The 18,887-nt window shown below is 47.0% G+C and overlaps 1 protein-coding gene across 8 annotated transcripts in view; it reads right to left on the reverse strand.

Moving 5' to 3' along the window:
- PI4KA (phosphatidylinositol 4-kinase alpha) overlaps positions 1–18,887 on the reverse strand; it is a 151,121-nt gene that overhangs the window by 81,401 nt on the left and 50,833 nt on the right. For all 8 annotated transcript variants that reach the window (NM_001362863.2, NM_001362862.2, XM_005261635.2 and 5 more), the window contains 10 exons: positions 18,271–18,367; positions 15,883–16,074; positions 15,209–15,309; positions 14,100–14,229; positions 12,882–13,014; positions 10,580–10,675; positions 10,002–10,185; positions 9,493–9,596; positions 7,055–7,223; positions 4,102–4,152 (listed from right to left, as the gene is read on the reverse strand). In NM_001362863.2, the coding sequence (NP_001349792.1) occupies positions 4,102–4,152; positions 7,055–7,223; positions 9,493–9,596; positions 10,002–10,185; positions 10,580–10,675; positions 12,882–13,014; positions 14,100–14,229; positions 15,209–15,309; positions 15,883–16,074; positions 18,271–18,367 (1,257 nt within the window). The remainder of the gene's footprint in view (positions 1–4,101; positions 4,153–7,054; positions 7,224–9,492; positions 9,597–10,001; positions 10,186–10,579; positions 10,676–12,881; positions 13,015–14,099; positions 14,230–15,208; positions 15,310–15,882; positions 16,075–18,270; positions 18,368–18,887) is intronic.

The raw sequence follows: 18,887 nt of genomic DNA on the forward strand, positions 1-18,887 counted from the left end.
TAGCCCATCTGTTACTCAAAGCAGGAGAGTACTCATTCAGAACACAGGCTCTGAGCCAGGCTGCCTGGTTTGAATCCTGGCTCTGCCATCTAGTAGCTATGAAACTCTAGTAGCAGGTTCTGTGCCTCAGTATCCTCATCTGTAAAATGGGGAGACCAGCAGCACTTACCTTGAGGGATTGCTGTGAGGATTAATCAAATTAATGTCTAGAAAGCATTTATTTATTTATTTATTTATTCATTTATTTTATTTTTTTGAGACGGAGTCTCGCTCTGTTGCCCAGGCTGGAGTGCAATGGCACAATCCTGGCTCACTGCAACCTCCGCCTCCTGGGTTCAAGCAATTCTCCTGCCTAAGCCTCCCGAGTAGCTGGGACTACAGGCACGTGCCACCACGCTTGGCTAATTTTTGTATTTTTAGCAGAGATGAGGTTTCACCATGTTGGACAGGCTGGTCTCGAACTCCTGACCTCAGGTGATCTGCCCACCTTGGCCTCCCAAAGTGTTGGGATTACAGGTGTAAGCCACCATGCCTGGTCTGGAAAGCATTTAGATCACTGCTTGGTTTTAGCAAGAACTAGGAAAGGTTGTCACATTATTCTCAATCTAAGAGAGTACATAAGCCAGGCCTTCTTAACTGGGGAGCCTTGGGTAGATTGCTTCCATTTAACTTCCTGAGGTTACATGCAAAATCTTGAGAGTAATAAGGATTTCCATGGACAGAGAGTGCACAGTTTTCGAAAAGGTTCTCTGTGACCTAAAACATGTTAATCCACACACACCTGGTTTTGCAGGCACTGAGAAAATAAGTAAACCTTCCAAGGCCACAAAAGTGACTGGTGACACAAGTAAACTTGCTCTCAGTGAAATACATGAATGTTTTTCCAGAAGGAGGTGCATCTTATTAAATCACTATTATATGACAGTGGAACAACTAAGTCTCTAAGCATTAGATACCATTCAAAACGTTTAACTAACAAGCTAAGTAACAACTGAAGTAATTTAATCAATGATATCTCTGAAGAAATATTATTCACAAAGTTGCGGTACAAAGATCACCAAATCTAGCCAGGAAGGAGCCTCAGAGATTGTATGACCCAGCTTCCTAGCAACTCCCTCAAAGTCACTGAGAACAGCTGCATTAGGGCCAAAACCCAGGCTTCCTGCCCCAAATCCACTGGTACTTCCATTCAACAGAGTAATCTGAGACACTGTGTCATCAAAGGTCACAGAATATACTCTATATACAAAATAGAGTATATCTTTCTTTTAAAAAATAAAATAAGTAGGCCAGGAGTGGTGGCTCACACCTGTAATCCCAGCACTTTGGGAGGCTGAGGCAGGTGGATCACTTGAAACCAGGAGTTTGAGACCAGCCTGGTGAACATGGCAAAAACTGATTTCTACTAAAAATACAAAAATTAGCCGTGCATGGTGGTGCACACCTGTAATTCCAGCTGCTTGGAAGGCTGAGGCAGGAGAATAGCTTGAACCCAGGAGATGGAAGTTGCAGTGAGCCAAAATCACGCCACTGCACTCCAGTCTGGGTGACAGAGTGAGACTCTGTCTCAAAAATAAAAATAAAAATAAAAAAATTTAAAAAAAACAAACACACACACACACACACACACACACACACACACACACACACAACAAAAAAAACCACCTCTGGAAATTAGTTTCTTCCAGAAGGTCCAAGGGGTAACCATAAAGTAAATGCAAGGACCCATGATCTCTGTGCTCTTTGTTGAGCAATAAAATCAAATATTTGTTTCCTCCTCCATAATATAACCATTAACTTTCACTAAAAATACACTTATTCTTCTCATGTAAGAGGTCACATCAGGGGAGTATTTAAATGAGCATGTGCTAAGCTATCACAGATAACAGTTCTGCCTGTACCACCCACCCCAGCAGCCCGGAGAGGCGCAGGCTCACACACGATCCCACATGTAGGACCAGGAGTCCAACCTGGAACCCTGTGACCCTCAAATTTGTGTAATTTCAACCAACCTCACCACTCACTGCTTCCCTAAAGTGCAAAGTGCCCGACAGATTTCCACTATGCATATATTAAGCTCTAAATGACAACTGCTCAACATATTTGAAAGTTCACAAGAATACAGGTCATCAAGTTCTGATGGTCAAAGATCCTGGAACTCACTGATTTTAGTGTTGCCCTAAGCATCCTCCCTATCTGCCTAAAACTTGCTCTCCTGCAGAGCCTGCTGCCAACAGAGTGGCTTGGGCTTCATGCCCCTTACTTTTCCCTCCAGGCCACATAAAAGGCCCACATACAACAGCACTTTAAACACACAAGCATACACTACTCAACATTAGCTACACAGTGGGAAAATTTCTGTTTTGAAAAATCAACCAATGGGGCCAGGCATGGTGGTTCACGCCTGTAATCCCAGCACTAAGGGAGGCTGAAGTGGGGCAGATCACTTGAGCTCAGAAGTTCGAGACAAGCCTGGGCAACATGGCAAAACCCTATCTCTACAAAAAAATAGAAAAAGTAGCTGAGAATGGTGATGTGCACCTGTAGTCCCAGCTACTTGGAAGGCTGAGGTGGGAAGATTGCTTGAGCTCCAGAGGTCCAGGCTGCAGTGGGCTGATACTCTGCCACTGCACTCCAATCTAGGTGCCAGAATGAGACCCTGTCTCAAAAACAATAAAAATAAAAATAAATCAACCAATGGGGGTGTCCATGAAAAATACCATGGCAGGCCGGGCGCGGCAGCTCATACCTGTAATACCAGCACTTTGGGAGGCCAAGGCGGGTGGATCACTTGAGGCCAGGAGTTCGAGACCAGCCTGGCCAACATGGTGAAACCCCATCTCTACTAAAAATACAAAAATTAGCCATGCGTGGTAGGGCGTGCTTGTAATCCCAGGTACTCGGGAGACTGAGGCATGACAACTGCTTGAACCCAGGAGGTGGAGACTGCAGTTAGCCAAGGTCGCACCACTGCATTCCAGCCTGGGTGACAGAGTGAGAATCTGTCTCAAAAATAAAAAATAAAATACAATATAATAAAAAATAAAAATAAATAAATAACATGCGACATATGACATTTTACTACTAAAGATAAATAATGGCAAACCAGTCAGTTACTATTTTTCATCTACCTCGGCCAGCCAAAACTGGACACCCTAGAAGTCCCCAGGTTGGGAATAATGATGAACACTCAGATGGTGTGAGCAGGGGAACGACTTCAATGAGACCAGGAGAGGTGCCTCTCTGTGCCTGCAATGCCACCTGTCTGCCTGACCTCCACGTCCCTAGGCTGCCCTAGCAGTTCTGCCACCAGGCCCACCCCTCTGGTGTACAAGGTGAAGGGGACACATGCAAGTGCTCAAGACTCAAACTACTATGGGGTGAGGAGGAGGGAAGGCACTGTAAGGCAGACACAAGGGATGGCCTAGAAGGTTGGTTAAATGGAAGGGAGAGAATATGGAATGAAAATAAATACTGGAACATAGGTGCTGGGCTTAGGACTTGCAGCTAGGAGTGACGAAGAAAGGGAAAAACAACTTCTACAAGTCATTTGGGAAGAAGCGGACCCAAGCTGGGACAGGACAGGATGGAAACAGGCTCTCCAACACGATGGTGCCACACAGGAGGCAGGGACTGTGCCCGCCATGCCAACAACGTCCCCTGAAGGAGACTGGGGCCATAGCTCCGAGGCCTGAGCGCCGACAAGAGGCTTCCAGGCCTGCACTTGTGGGAAGGAGCCAAGGAAGGGATGGAAGCAGGGAGCTGGCCCAGCATCAGTCACAAGGGCATGAGACACAGGATGAAAGTGGAGTCAGATTTAGGACCTGGGAGCCACCCGGCAGGGAACCAAAGCAAGTGCCCTTGTCAATTGGTTGAGGGGGTTCGGGCAGGTCATGGAGAAAGGGAGTGAAGGATGTGCCATGGTGGACACACCTATGGGGCTGTCATGGAAAAGCTGGTGATGGCTGCAGCAGTCACATCTAGAGGCATAGGGGCCTCAACACTGCACCTTTCTAAGGAATTTACTGTGCGTCACCAGGCAACACTTAAAGCATGAACACAGTATCTGCAGTTTTTATCATTCAATTAATGAATACTCACCACAGCTATTACAGGAATGAGTACTCCCAAGTTCCCTGCACTGCTAGAAGCCTAGAAAAGAACAGAATTATTGTCATTAACGAGTATGTGTTTCTTTTATTAAAAAAAAAAAACACAAGATACAACATAGTGTTATGTAAACCTGGAATGTCTTAATCTAAGAGAAATGATGAGAGATATGCAGAGAGAGGCAGAGAGATGCTCATCCAGCATAATTTTAATAGCAAAAAATGAAAACAAATGTGAAAAATAAACCATGGTTACATAAATGATTACATAAATCATGGTACTTCTGCATAATTAGATATGACACAGCTATTTAAAATACAACTTTCTGAAAAGCATTTAGTCACCATGGAAAGAGCCCACAGCACATGTCAAATGAAAAAAAAATCAAGATTTAAGACTATGCTATGATTCAATCCCAATTATGTAATAAATACATATGCATAAAAAAGCTAGGAAGAAATCTGTCAAAGTGTTAGTAATGATTATATATCTGAGTCAAGGGATAAGTGCTTTTTACTTTACTATTTATAGGCTTCTGTATCTTTTCTAAAATAAACATATATTCTTCCCAAGTTAGGGAAATTTGGGGGGTTACTTAATAAAAGATAGACTCTCTGGCTAGACACACAAATGTAGCTAATCTTCAGTACACACTGATTAGTAAAAATTCTGGAAGCACTGGCCTAAGCCGACTTGATTTATGCTCTTAATCTATAATAACAGCAGCTGAAGACCTTGAGCATACACTGCGGCCAGGCACTGTGCTCAGTGCTTCGCATGCACTAACTTCTGGGACGATTCATGGGAGGTCTCAGTAGCTTGCCAAGGCCACACAGCACCTCAGTGGTGGGGACAGAATGCCAAGCTGTAAACATATACACCTACTATGTACTCACAAAAATTTTTTTGAAAATTTAAAAAGAATGCCAAGCTGTTTTCCCTGGGCTGGGGGCCACAAGGGTGGCCCTGCCTGGTCCCCTCTGGGAAACCGATAGCCTAAGGGATGCGTGATGATGGAGAACAACCCACAGACCTTAGTTTAATTTATAATTATAGCTCCTTGTCCTCCACAAGGTGGGGCACTGAGGTCCAATTTCCAGGGGAGAGCAGGCTCCTGAAACGCCCCTCAGACAGGTTACAGCCTCTGCTTTCTCAGGTGCTCAGCACCACCTTGTATCATCAGTACCCCACTCTTATCCTGATGCCTAAGGTCCCGCTAGACACGCGGGACACACTTCTCTCCTGTGCACTGAGGTGGTCCCAGCTGTGTACCCCACTGGGAGACTTGGGAAGTTAGTCAGCCACATGACTGTCGGAGGGCCCGGCATAGCAAGGCTGAATTAGGGACAAGAGTCTTAGGATCCCTGCTTGCATCGGCCACTCTCTCTTGGCTGAGACTTTCACAGGGGGACTCCTTCATGCAGTTGTCATCTCAAATGCCACTCTTCAGAGAAGCCTTCTCAACCAGCCCAATCTAAAGTGCCCCTCACCACCCTGCCCTGTTTCACTCTCCCACTCAGCGCCACAGGCAGAGAGGACCCTGTCTGTCTCGTTCACTTCTGTAACACCCTCATCTAGAGCAAGGGCTGGTAAACTATGGCCCATGAACCAAATCCAACCCAACACCTGTTCTTGCAAATACAATTTTATAGGAGCACAGTCACGCCTGTTCGTTCATAGACAGGTGACCACAGAAGAGTTGAGTTGAGCAGTTACAACAGAAGCTGTATGGCCTGCAAAGCGTAAAATATTTACACTCTGGCCCTTTACAGAAAAAGTGGGCTGACCCCTGACCTAGGACAGTAGCTGGCACAGAGTAGGTGAACAATAACTGTCTGGGGGAAGGGGAAGGAAGAAATGGAAGAGAGAGGAAATGACAAAACAGGGTGGAAGTAGAGATATGGTTGTGGGATACATTGGGGTTTTTCTTTAAATAATCTGATCAATCTTTTATTTTTTAATTTATAGTACCCCCGACTTTTTCTTTTTTTTCCTTTTTGCCTTTATTAAATGCCTAAACACGCCTCAGTACCAAGTGTTATCAACACCAACTCATATTCCTTTCCTTATTTAAAAAAAAAAACTTTCTAGCTCATTACAAACACCCCCTTCCCCTTTCTCTCCACTTTCTTTTACATACCCACCCTATCTAAAAAAATCAAATGTTTAGCCAACCAAAATTAGTTTAAATTATATGACCCAACCCCAGCCAATAAAAAAAATACAAAAACAAAACTTGAGTCAAAAATAAAAATTCTCGTGCCCTTTATTCAAATATGCTCTTATAACAGCTAGCCCAAAAGACACCCCTCTACGCAAAAATAAAATTGCTTTACTAAAACTCTTCTGTTCAAATATTCAATTTCCTTAAAATTTTAAGGGTTATTCCTAACATGGTAGAGCGACTAGTGCCCACGTGACATGCTACTGGGGAGTTACGAAGGAAGAGGCCTCACCTGCCTCGGCCCCACCATGAATGTATTTGGGGATTCAAGACATGACGTTTATCTCAGTAGACCTGTCTTCCTTGGGAGGCCTGAGATTAGGTGAAATCTGGCCCTTCTCATGTTGCCACTGTGTTCTGATGATGGGCCCTTAAAGTCCTCCTAGGCCCAGCTACCACCCCTGGGCTTCATGATAAAGGCAAGGACAGAGAGAGGTGCCCGTGGGGAGCTGAGGCTAGACTGTTGTCATGTCACCACCCTAGGATGGGTCGGGCAGCTTTTATGAGCTGGATATAACCCAGTGAGAAAACTGCCCTCTCCCCTGATCCCCACCAGCATCCTTGAGAAAGAACCCCACCCCTTCTTACTTGCATTCCAGGCACATTTAAATCATTCACAAAGAAAGTGCCATATTCCAACCAAGATGGTGCCTGAAGACTAAGCCTTGGCCAGCAGGGATAGGACACTGATGGGGAAGGCATAGCCATCCTCCTTCCTACCTTTAGGGCAGGGCCCTTCTCGCTTGCCCTCTCGCTGGCTCGCTTCCCCTCCAGCCCCAGCTGCACAAACAACTCCAACAGGTTCATGAGCAGCTCATCCACCAGGTGCTCGTCTTGGATGTTGGCCGCGATGTTGGCCAGGGCATTAATCACTGCCAGGGAGCAATGCCTGAAGAAGAAGGAGTGAAATAACAGCCACTGCCAGGCCCTCAACCGTCCCCAAGGGACGGCACTGCAGGGGTGAGGCGAGCTGAGCGGGCCAGGCCCAGCCTGCCTTACCACACTCCTCCCAGTGTCTGTAAACCAAAGAACTCTCAAGTGGAGAAGAACATGTCATCTTCGTGAAAAACAACCTGTAGAATAAAGCCAACTGATGCAGAAATGACTGCAATCCTCTCTCCTGAAATGTAGTAAGGACCTCCAGGAGACTAAGTTCTAGGCATCTGCAACACTGGGTACCTGTGAGGGTCTCAGGACACTTCCCTCAGGGCTGAAAATGAAAGGGCCCATGCCCAGGCATTCCAGGTTGGATCTTGCTTCCCCCCTACAAATCACAAAGAGCCTTAAAGCATCATTTACCACCCACAGAACTTTCACCTCATGACCAGCTTCTCCCTAACGCTGCCTCCACCTTGGAGCTGATGTCAGTATTTTTTCACATCCAATGCTCAGCAAGTGTTCCAGGGTCCTGCCTCAGGATCTTGGCTGGCCCAATGTAAACCCCGGATGTGAAGCTGACATTGCCCCTTTGGCCAGAAACCTGAAACCACTGAGGCCAACCAGGCTTCTGTGGCCCTGGAGACTGCCAGACTCTGTCATGTCCAAGCGGCACGACCCTGGGTAAGTCTCTTTAAGTCTTTGAGCCTCAGTTTCTTCCTAAGTAAAACAAGGATGATAATTTCTCTTCGTAGGATCACGGGAAGAGTGAAACACCACGTGAAGCACTAAGCATGTCGTCTGCTCCACTAAGAAATCCCAGAGCAACGGCAGCCACGGCAAAAGGCACTGCAGTTAAGTAATACCTGGTAGGTCAAGGGCAAACAAAGGGCAGTAAATGCTTCCACTGGTGAGGAAGACGACAAATCATTTTTGGTGACAATATGAGAAAAGGCTTTATGGAAGGAGAGGCAAGCTGAGCCAGAACTGAAGAACTGGAAGGATGAAGACTGGCAGGTGCTACAGACACAGGGTAAGGCATGGCAGAACACCTAGGAGGGGTGGAAGCAAAGGAAACCGGGGAGGCAGCTGGCGAGGCAGCTGGGGACACTCCTGGAGAAAGGGCCCAGCAGTCACATAGGCGCAAGGAAGCAATGTGTTGGCCTGTGTGCAGGTTCCATGGCAGAGAATGGGACAGAGGAAGGAAGGAAAGGAGAGCCTGACCCCATCCCCAATCCAGTCTTCAGGCTGTTCTAGTAGCCTGGGCTCATGACGGTGGCAGCAAGAAGGCAATGAAGTAGTATCGATGCGAGAGACAGCTCTATTGATTGGGAGCTTTCACATATGCAATCTCATTCCCAACTGCAGGCAGGTTCTCATTTGGCAGATGAGGAAACTGAGGCACAGAGGTTCAGCATTTTCTGAGGTCATGCAGCTACATGGCATGGCTCCACAGCTGCACTCCCACCCACTAAACTGACATGGAGAGAATCCAGAGGAAGGCCTGGACTTCACAGTCAGAAGGGAGGAGCCCGGAGGTCAAGAAGAGTAACGCCTGCAAAGGGGCTCTCTTCTTCCCTCCCCACCCTCCTGTCCTCATCTGACTTCACCTCTCCCCTTCCCTCTCTTCCAAACACGGATGAACATGTCCCTGTCCTCAAGGCATTCCTAGAGGAGGGTAAGGAATAGCCAAGAAGCATCTCTCAATCTGTCAGGGAAAACTGGTCAGACTTTATACAAGTATCAAATGTTCAAGGACGTTTAACGCCTACTTCCTTGGACCCAAAATCCTACTTCTCTGAATCTAACCCACAGAAAGCATCAAAGATGCTCAGAGATATGTAGCTGTTAGGCTGTCAATGCTGCATTTATTAGTGGGAAAACTGGAAAACACCCTAACATCCAAGCTAGAGACTGGCTGGTTAAATCTTGGTTCTACTATAGGATAGGACGCTCCACAACCTCTAAAGGCAACCTGCGCAGGATCATTCATGGTGTGGCTGATGTGCTGCCCCATAAAAAAGCAGGTCAGCTGCATGTGCAGCATGGGCCCAATCAGAAGGAGAGAAAGGAGCTGAGACCTCGTGCGCTGAGATGCTCAGTGGTCACCTCCAGGTGGGGGCCACATTGGGTTTTCACTTCCCCCCTTATGTGTGCACTGATCTGTAGCATATAGTTTTCTTGCAAGAAGAGTTTATTTAAGAGACAAATTCACAAACCTCACATTTTTAAAGTAAGTTAAATACTGTCATGATAAAAAAGTGACAATGAGGTCCAGTTACCTATAGCCGTGGTCCTTGTAATCTTTGGTGGCTGAGTATACAACGGAGCTGGCCTTCACACTGATCTGCTGGAAGAGGTTCCACACTTCCTGATAGATGTATTGCTGGGAGAGAGCAAGATGCACTGTCACCATGCAGGATGCCCTCATGAGGCCCCTCCTGTCATCACCTAGAGAGAAAGCTCTGGAATCCTGGGGCACAACAGCCCAAAGACTATCAGCCCAAAGATCATCCATTTCTAAAGCTTTAATCAAACCTCAAATTAAAAGCTAAAAGGGACATGGCTTAGATTCAAATCTTCTGTTATAATACACTGACAAGAAATTAAACCTCTTTTTCCCCAGCACTCACAGCATCTTACACTATTCTTACTACTCCGCATTAAAACCGTTGTCAGCATTTAGCTCATCTGCAAGGTATATTTAATCTGTATTTGTACATCCCTTATAGTCAAGAGTTTAACGTAGCTTGCACAGGGTTAGTGGTGTTCTGGCTCTGGCCTCCCTTACATTTCCGGTGATAACCAGGCAGCCCAGCTGGTCAATAATCAGCACATCGAGGGGGGAGGGTGGCTGGCAGAATTTCTGCTGTAGGATCTGCAGAATGGGCTCCATGACCTTCGGGGTGTCCCTCAAGGCCACCGCAATGTGTCCCAAGGCTCGGATTGTGTGGTCGGGAATCAAGTGAGCGTCCCTACAGAAGGAAGAACAGAAGCGCCCTAGCAACAGTCCCTCCAGCATGCAGTAGTGAAACAGTACCCAGAGACTACGATCTAGACCTTAATTTCATAACAGTCTTGATGCAGTGTTCATCTGAAACTGACAGCCCAGGATTTTAACCACGGGCAGAAACATAAGCCCCAGGCACTAGTCTGGATGACAAAGATCTTTCTCGACTTCCACACAGTGGTCCAGGAAGTACAATCCAAGGTGGGCTTCACCTTAAATCTTGTGACAACCCTGATACATGCCTATGCTCTGAGACAAGGAGATAAGGACAGAGGCATGCATACGCACAATGCCAGGTGCCCCACACGAGCCTGCTGAGAACAATGGGCTGCCTCTGAGAGACAGGAATAGGGGCGTACTTGTCGCTCTCCTGAGAGATGTAGAGCCGGTTGGACAGGCTGGCCAAGAACGCCTCCACAATCACTGGGTCCACCGTCAATCCAGCCTTCAGGCACCTGAGGAGCAAGAAAACCCATGTGGCACTGAGGCATCAAACCAAGATAGGTTTTTTGTTTTTTAATTTTTCCTTCCTTAGGCCTACAAAGTTTAAAGAACTGCTCTGAATTTTCTTCCCCCCAAATTGGAGGTCATAACACAGAATGAATTCAAAGAATTACTCCAGATTTTGCCCACTTGATAAATGTCTCAGTCGGAAACAATAATTTCATTATTTTGCCCAGAACAGTTTCCTTTGGAATATCATGCTCACCCTAATTCCAATTTCAATCCCTTGTACTGTTTCTTAAGGTCACAGTGACTGATTCCAAAGACAAACGGTCCCAAGATAGCATAGTAAACATCACAATTATATACCAAGGTTTTCATGGTAAGGAGAAACATTTACGTTACAGAGAAAAGGGGAAAAATTTAAAGCCCCTAAAAACATAAAATCTTGTAAGATGTCCTAGCTCTCCACATCTGTTTGGCTCCTGGGCCAGAGTTTGGAAAACAGTTTGAGTCTGACAGACAAGCTGCCATCTTGATTTAGCTTCTAAGGGCAAGGAACCAGAATCCAGGGAAAGAAGTATTTGCATGGAAATCAGACTGTATGTAGCTCTCAAGTTGGAAGAACAAGAGTCCACAGTGCAGGAGTCTGGGCAGCAAGGGGTACCTAATCATATTTTAAAACCTCACATTTATATTAAACATTCCACAGAAAACAAGGTAAAGAAAATATGATGATACGTTACTCTGGATGTTGAGCTAATGGATAATCCTTCTCTTTTTACTTTTCTATACATTACAATTTTTCTCTAGTAAGAATTTCTTAGCCAGGCACGGTGGCTCACACCTGTAATCCCAGCACTTTGGGAGGCACAGGTGGGCGGATCACAAGGTCAGGAGATCAAGATCATCCTGGCTAACATGGTGAAACCCCATCTCTACTAAAAAAAAAAAAAAAATACAAAAAAATTAGCTGGGCATGGTGGCGGGCACCTGTAGTCCCAGCTACTCCAGAGGCTGAGGCAGGAGAATGGCGTGAACCCAGGAGGCGGAGCTTGCAGTGAGCTGAGATCGCGCCACTGCACTCCAGCCTGGGCGACAAAGCAAGACTCTGTCTCAAAAAAAAAAAAGGAAGAATTTCTTTTTTTTTTTGAGACGGAGTTTTGCTCTTGTTGCCCAGGCTGGAGTGCAATGGTACAATCTCGGCTCACCGCAACCTCCGCCTCCCGGGTTCAAGTGATTCTCCTGCCTCAGCCTCCCGAGTAGCTGGGATTACAGGCACGTGCCACCACGCCCGGCTAATTTTTTGTATTTGTAGTAGAGACAGGGTTTCACCATATTGGCCAGGCTGGTCTCGAACTCCTGACCTCATGATCCACCTGCCTCGGCCTCCCAAGTAGCTGGGATTACAGGCTTGAGCCACCACACCAGGCCTCTTATTATGTTTATGATCAGGAAAAGAAAAGAAGTAACAAGAAATAATTCCTCTTTATAGATCAAGTGTAGGTTTAAAATAATCAGAAACAAGCTTTAAAAAAGTATAAATGCAGCCAGGCACGGTGGCTCACGCTTGTAATCCCAGCACTTTGGGAGGCTGAGGCAGGCGGATCACGAGGTCACAAGTTTGAGACCAGTCTGGCCAACATAGTGAAATCCCATCTCTACTAAAAATATAAAAAATTAGCCAAGAATGGTGGTGTGTGCCTGTAATCCCAGCTACCTGGGAGGCTGAGGCAGGAGAATTGCATGAACCCAGGAGGCAGAGGTTGCTGTGAGCTGAGATTGCGCCATTGCACTCCCGCCCCAGGCAACAGTGCAAGACTGTATAAAAAAAAATGTATAAATGGGGTGGGTGCAGTGGCTCACACCTGTAATCCCAGCACTTTGGGAGACCAAGGCAGGTGGATCACCTGAGGTCAGGAGTTCGAGACCAGCCTGGCCAACGTGGTGCAACCCCATCTCTACTAAAAATACAAAAATTAGCTGGGCGTGGTGGTGGGCGCCTGTAATCCCAGCTACTCGGGGGAGGCTGAGGCAGGAAAATAGCTTGAACCCAGGAGGCAGAGGTAGCAGTGAGCCGAGATTGTGCCACTGCATTCCAGCCTGGGCAACAGAGCGAGACTCAATCTCAAAAAAGAAGTATAAATGTCTCTTATTTTGTAATAACCCGCTTGTCTGGAGCACTGCTGTCTACTCGCCACTTGCCCAGCTTCCCACCTGCAGATGTTGTCAATAGCGATGTCTCGGAGCTGCTCGTACATGGAGGGCTGGCTCTTCTTACCCGACATGACGTTCAGGGTTGACTCGGAATGCTCATTGGTCACACTGATTTTTATATCATTGCCAGCAACTGAAAGTAAAAAATTCAAATATATACCTAGTTAGGCCTATCATTTTCCATCACCTTCTTTGTAATTCAAAAACCAAGATAATATGCTGATCATTTATAAAAGCAAAATGATCACTCTAAAAACATCTGACCAAATATTTCAGAAAGAGAAGAGTCTAAGAGCAACAGGAAATAATATGTTTAAATCAAAAGGAAGAATATTCAAGTTAGAAAGTGATAAATACAGAAAACTACCAATTTCTCAATCAACTGTTCAAAAGTACTGATGACCAACCACCAAAGGCAGCTCTGAGGGCGACTGAGGCATGGCCCTGTGCTTGGAGTTACCTCACTAATATGTACAAAGCCTGGTGAGGGTTAGGGATGCTTGCGGGAGCAGGGGCCTTAGAGCCTGAGAGAACCCTCCCCACTACGGGGTTCAGGGAAGTCTTGTTTTTTGTTTGTTTTTGAGATAGGGTCTTGCTCTGTCACCCAGGCCGGAATGCAGTGGCGCTATCACAGCTCACTGCATCCTCAACCTCCTGGGCTCAAGCCATCCTACAACTTCAGCCTCCTGAGTAGCTAGGACTACAGGTGAGCGCCATCACGCCTGGCTAAATCTTTAAACTGCTCTGACTTTAAGTCTTCATCTGAAGGGGAAGATAAAAACAGCCACCTTCATGAGACTGTGGGTAAGAGGGTGATACTACATCAGAGACACTAGCACACAGCAGGTGTTTAATTAATTAATGTTAATTATTGTTTCATCATATGTGGAAACATCATAATCCATTCTCGCAGGGGTAGCAGGGACTGGGCCCCTGGCTAAGTGTTTGGGGCACACAGGATTTGCATTTCAGACTTCCACAGTGAAAGATGTCAAAAAGAAAACAGGACTTGAAGGGGCCTTTGGTGTAACAGGAATACAGGATGAGAGAAGGCCGGGGAAGAAAGGCCTGGAGCTTGGAGGGGACGCAAAGGGAAAGACAGAAGGAAAGGTGTGGCGAAGGAATGCACCCAGGTACAGTCATGAAACCTGTGTGAGGCTCACACACAGTCACAGAGCCCCTTTCTCAGGGCCTGAAGGGCACATAGTCTGTTATTACCTGTGTGGTACTGACTGTGGTACTTGTAGAGCTTCACCAGAACTGGGGACGGGATGACCAGGAAGTCTCGCAAGGACGGTGTCACAGAGTGCACCACCACCGGGAACCTCTCGCACAGGCGGCCCAAACCCTGCAACACACCATCAACCTGTCACATGGCCTGTGGTATGGGACCATCTGAGTAGGCCCTGAGCAGGGAGGTGCTCAACCCTTCAGTACCCAAGTCTGACCCAAAACTTCGAAGGTCAAAGCTCCCACAGGCCACCTGCCCAGGACATAAAAAGATGGAAGCGATGGTGCTGACTCTCCTCCACCTATAGGGGACATCAACTACTATTTTTTTGTTTTGTTTTTGAGACAGGGTCTCGCTGTCGCCCAGGCTGGAGTGCAGTGGCACGATCATGGCTTACTGCAGCCTTGACTTACTGGGCTTAAGCAATCCTCCCACCTCAGCCTCCTGAGTAGCTGGGACTGTAGGCACACACCATCATCCCTAACTAATTCTAATTTTTTAAATTTTTTGTGCAGACGGAGTCTCACTATGTTGCCCAGGTTGGGCTCAAGCGATCCTCCCACCTCTGCCTCCCAAAGTATCGGGATTACAGGAGTGAGCAACCGTACCTGGCCAGGGGATATAGATTGTTAAAGTGTGCTCATCTCTTTTGGAAGCATACTAAAGAAGAAAGGGACAAAATATAATTTTTAAACAATGGCAGGTGTGGAGTCAGTGGGATTGTGACAAGGTTAAGAGTCTCGGCAGAGCAGAGCTAGCACTGTGGGTGTCAGGAGACATCCCCTTGCGTGGCCCCATGGCACATGTCCACAGTCCTTCCCCCACAGGCCTTGGGAATGGCCCCCAGCCTCACAACAACGGAGAACTGAAGCCAGCTGCACCCATATGCCACTGACAGAAAGCCCTGGCATCCTGCAGGGGGCAGCCCACACTCAGTGATGAACTGTGCACAGCACGCACTGGTTAAAGCTCCTAAAGACAGAACCGGCAGGGTCTCCGCTGCTGGTGTGCCCACCACAGCCTGAACAGCAACAGCGTGACAAGAGGGAGGCCCTACAGGTGGGATCTGAGCCTCTCTGGGTTCAGGGAGACTGACCTGCAGACAGCAGATCAGCAGGGGCAAGTGAGCAATAATGACTTTGCTGGACGTCTTGGACTGCAGCTTCTCAGATAGCTTGATGCAAAGGTTTTCTGCACCTTAATTCAAAACCAGAAGAGGAGATGAGTGATCAGCACAGGCCAGTCTTTCTAACACACTTATCCACCAAGTAAGCACAGAATTTAATAAAACCCCAGAGACATACTTTAGGCAGGGCTTATTCATACTGAGAGGTCACACAGTGTGTGACACTCTCTCTCTCTTCTCCGCTGGCCCTAAGCCCCCTTGTCCCCGCAGTGTTCATTCCACAGAAAACTTCCCATTCTACTCCTCCCCCAGAAAAACACTTCACCTGAAGGCACTGAGCTTCCATGTCACCACAGAAAAGCCTAAAGAACCAGCAAGATGCAGCAGAGAGCATACACAGGCCCTGAGGCCACGGGCATCCCCATCCTCCCAGGTCCAGTGCCCTCCATGCAGGACAGGACACCAGACGTGCAGAGCACAGCAGGGGCTAATGCTCCACTCTGCACGTGCCCAGGAGGCCTACTGCAACTGCCTGTGCTGGTAACAGAGCCAAGTGTTCTAGAAGTAGTTTGGGGAAACTTGTGGCAAGAAAGCCTCTGGGTCATGCCTGGAGCTCACATGAGAGGCAAGGCAGTCTGTCTCACCCTGCTCGTCCTTCACAGCCCACACCATGAGGTCCACACAGGCAGCATTCGCCTGACAGCGCAGTTTGAGGGGGCTCAGCTCATTGTGGATCCGGTCTGCGTCATGTAGAATCTTCTGGAGCTCCCCCTGGCTCGTGTTGAACTGCTCCAGCACAAAATCATGGATCTCCTTCACAAAAGAGGTCGGGAGGTCTGTAGGAAAGAGTGTGGCATCACAGCTGGGAACAAAACTACAGTAGAACACAGGCAGTGCTAGCAGCGGCTACAGTCTTCCCCTTTTAACAAAAACCCCAGAAAAGTAGCATTTGCTACTGGCCACTGTGGGTCCTAGAATGCCCACTGGAAAGAAGTTGGATAGGAATTGCACAGCTGTCCTCCACGTGCACACAACCTGGCAATCAGAGGAAATGATCATTTCCCAGGGATGTTACAGCCATGCTTTGTTTTAAGCAGTCAACGTACTAAAACCTGAATACATGAAACATATAAATTGGGAAGTATCGTTGCTGGAACTACTTCCACTGACAATATGAGATACTTCTGTGATTTTTTTTTCTTTTAAGAAAGAGGTTGTCAGGGCCAGGCGCGGTGGCTCACGCCTGTAATCTCAGCAACTTGGGAGGCCGAGGCGGGCAGATCATGAGGTCAGGAGATCGAGACCATCCTGGCTAACACGGTGAAACCCCATCTCTAATAAAAATACAAAAAATTAGCCGGGCGTGGTGGTGGGCGCCTGTAGTCCCAGCTACTCGGGAGGCTGAGGCAGGAGAATGGCGTCAACCCGGGAGGCGGAGCTTGCAGTGAGCCAAGATCGTGCCACTGCATTCCAGCGTGGGCGACAGAGCGAGACTCCCATCTCAAAAAAAAAAAAAAAAAGAAAGAAAAAGGTTGTCAGATAAGGGCAAAAACTGGTTGCAGCCTTGAGAAGAGAATTATCTGGATCTTCAGAGCACTCACCCTGAGTTTGAGAGACTTTTCAAACTCTCATCCCCAGGGCCTGGAAAATTCAGGAGAACCACCATGATGCACGCACAAGTCAGCCCAGCCAAGGCAGCCAGCAACACACAGCAGGGGTGGTGGGGAGGGCAGGGGTAATCCCTGATGCCCCTTCTTAGGGAGTTTCAACCCTTGCCGTGGCCCAGATGACTCAGCTTCTGAGGAATGTTCAGAATCAGATTAGGAAAGTGGTTACTAAATTTTGGTATACCTTCCTGACAAAATATTATGTGCTCATCAAAACTTAAGCTTACGAAGAACACTCAACAGTGTGAGGGGAGAGCATAGGAAAAACATTTTGTAAAATGCATAAAAGATTGTTTCCTCACTTCTGGGAAAAACAAAATTCATGAAAGAGGGACTAGAAGAAAATGCTAAATTGTTGTGTGTGCATGTTAACTATTAAGCTATTGTCTCAGGTTGGGTGCAGTGGCTAACACCTGTAATCCCAGCACTTTGGGAGGCCAAGGTGGGTGGATCATTTGAGGCCAGGAGTTCAAGACCAGCCTGGCCAACATGGTAAAACCCCATCTCTACTAAAAATACAAAAATTAGGCAGACGTGGTGGCACATGCCTGTAATCCCAGCTACTTGGGAGGCTGAGGCACGAGAGAATTGCTTGAGCCTGGGAGGCAGAAGTTGCAGTGACCCCAGATCATGCCAATGCACTCCAGCCTGGGCGACAGGGAAAGACTCTGTCTGAAAAAAAAAGCTAGTACCTCTACATTAACAGATTACATGTATTACAAGTACTTCATTTTCTTTTTTTTAATGTTTTTGAGATGGAGTCTTACTCTGTCACATAGGCTGGAGTGCAGTGGCACGATCTGGGCTCACTGCAACCTCCGCCTCCCAAGTTCAAGCGATTCTCCTGCCTCAGCCTCCTGTGTAGCTGGGATTACAGGTGCATGCCACTGCGCCTGGCTAATTTCTTTTGTATTTTTAGTAGAGACAGGGTTTCACCCTGTTTGGCAAGGCTGGTCTCGAACTCCTGACCTTAAGTGATCAGCCCACCTTGTCCTCCCAAAGTGCTGGGATTATACGCATAAGCCACTGTGCCTGGCCTCTTTTTTAATTTTTTAAACTATCTAAATGGATATGTAAAACTGTATCTGTCCTTAGGACAATATAACATGCACATTTTAGATAAACACCTTAGGAAATAAACTCAGCAAAGGAGCCATCATCGATGGTACCGGGGTTGCAGGATCATGGACAGATTTTTTAAATTTGCTTTTTTCCCAAAATTTCAGTAACATGACCACTTTGCTCATATGTGTTTTTCAGTGGCCCCAGCAGAAAGTGAGTACCAGTCTGCAACCACTAGCATGCGACAGTGGCCTGGGAGCCAGTCTTGCTGTACTCACAAACACATGGGCAAACTGTCCTCACCCTTCATGTAGTACAGAGTGTCACGCAGCATCTTGAACATGGTCAGGTAGAGAGGGTCACTGAAGGAAGTGTAGTAGAGATCAGCACTGGGGTTGGCCTGCAGGGAAGGCAGACACACATGACTATAGAACAGAAATGCCCTTCTGCCCACCCTTTGCCTTCACAGCAAGGCCCAGCGGAATGGTGATTCGTGACTTAGCATTCTAAATGAAGCAACTGTTTATCATGACTCATCACTTGGACACTCTACTGTCTTCATCCTCTTAAGCATCAGACCAAGGAAAACAGGAGGCTCATGCAGTCCAGAGATGCCTGCGGGGGAGCAGCCATCTGCACCCTAGTAGGAAGAACCTCCTTGCTGTGGCTGAAGCTCACCATCTTTGGCCATCATTGGCCCAGACAGGGACATGGGAAGTGGTGAAGGAGGAAGACTGACAAAGGCCACCAGAGTAAGGGATCCACACTGTCCATCATCCCAAGGATACAAATTACAGCCAGGACACCTTCAGATACAACTTATGTTTTGTAATTAAAACTCATTTTAAATTATTCTTTAGGAATCTATTTGAAATGTAGCACTATTCTTCTTCTGAAAAAAAAAAAAAAATTCACACAAG

The sequence above is a fragment of the Homo sapiens genome, chromosome 22 (genome assembly GCF_000001405.40).
Source record: "Homo sapiens chromosome 22, GRCh38.p14 Primary Assembly".
Lineage (NCBI taxonomy): Eukaryota > Metazoa > Chordata > Mammalia > Primates > Hominidae > Homo > Homo sapiens.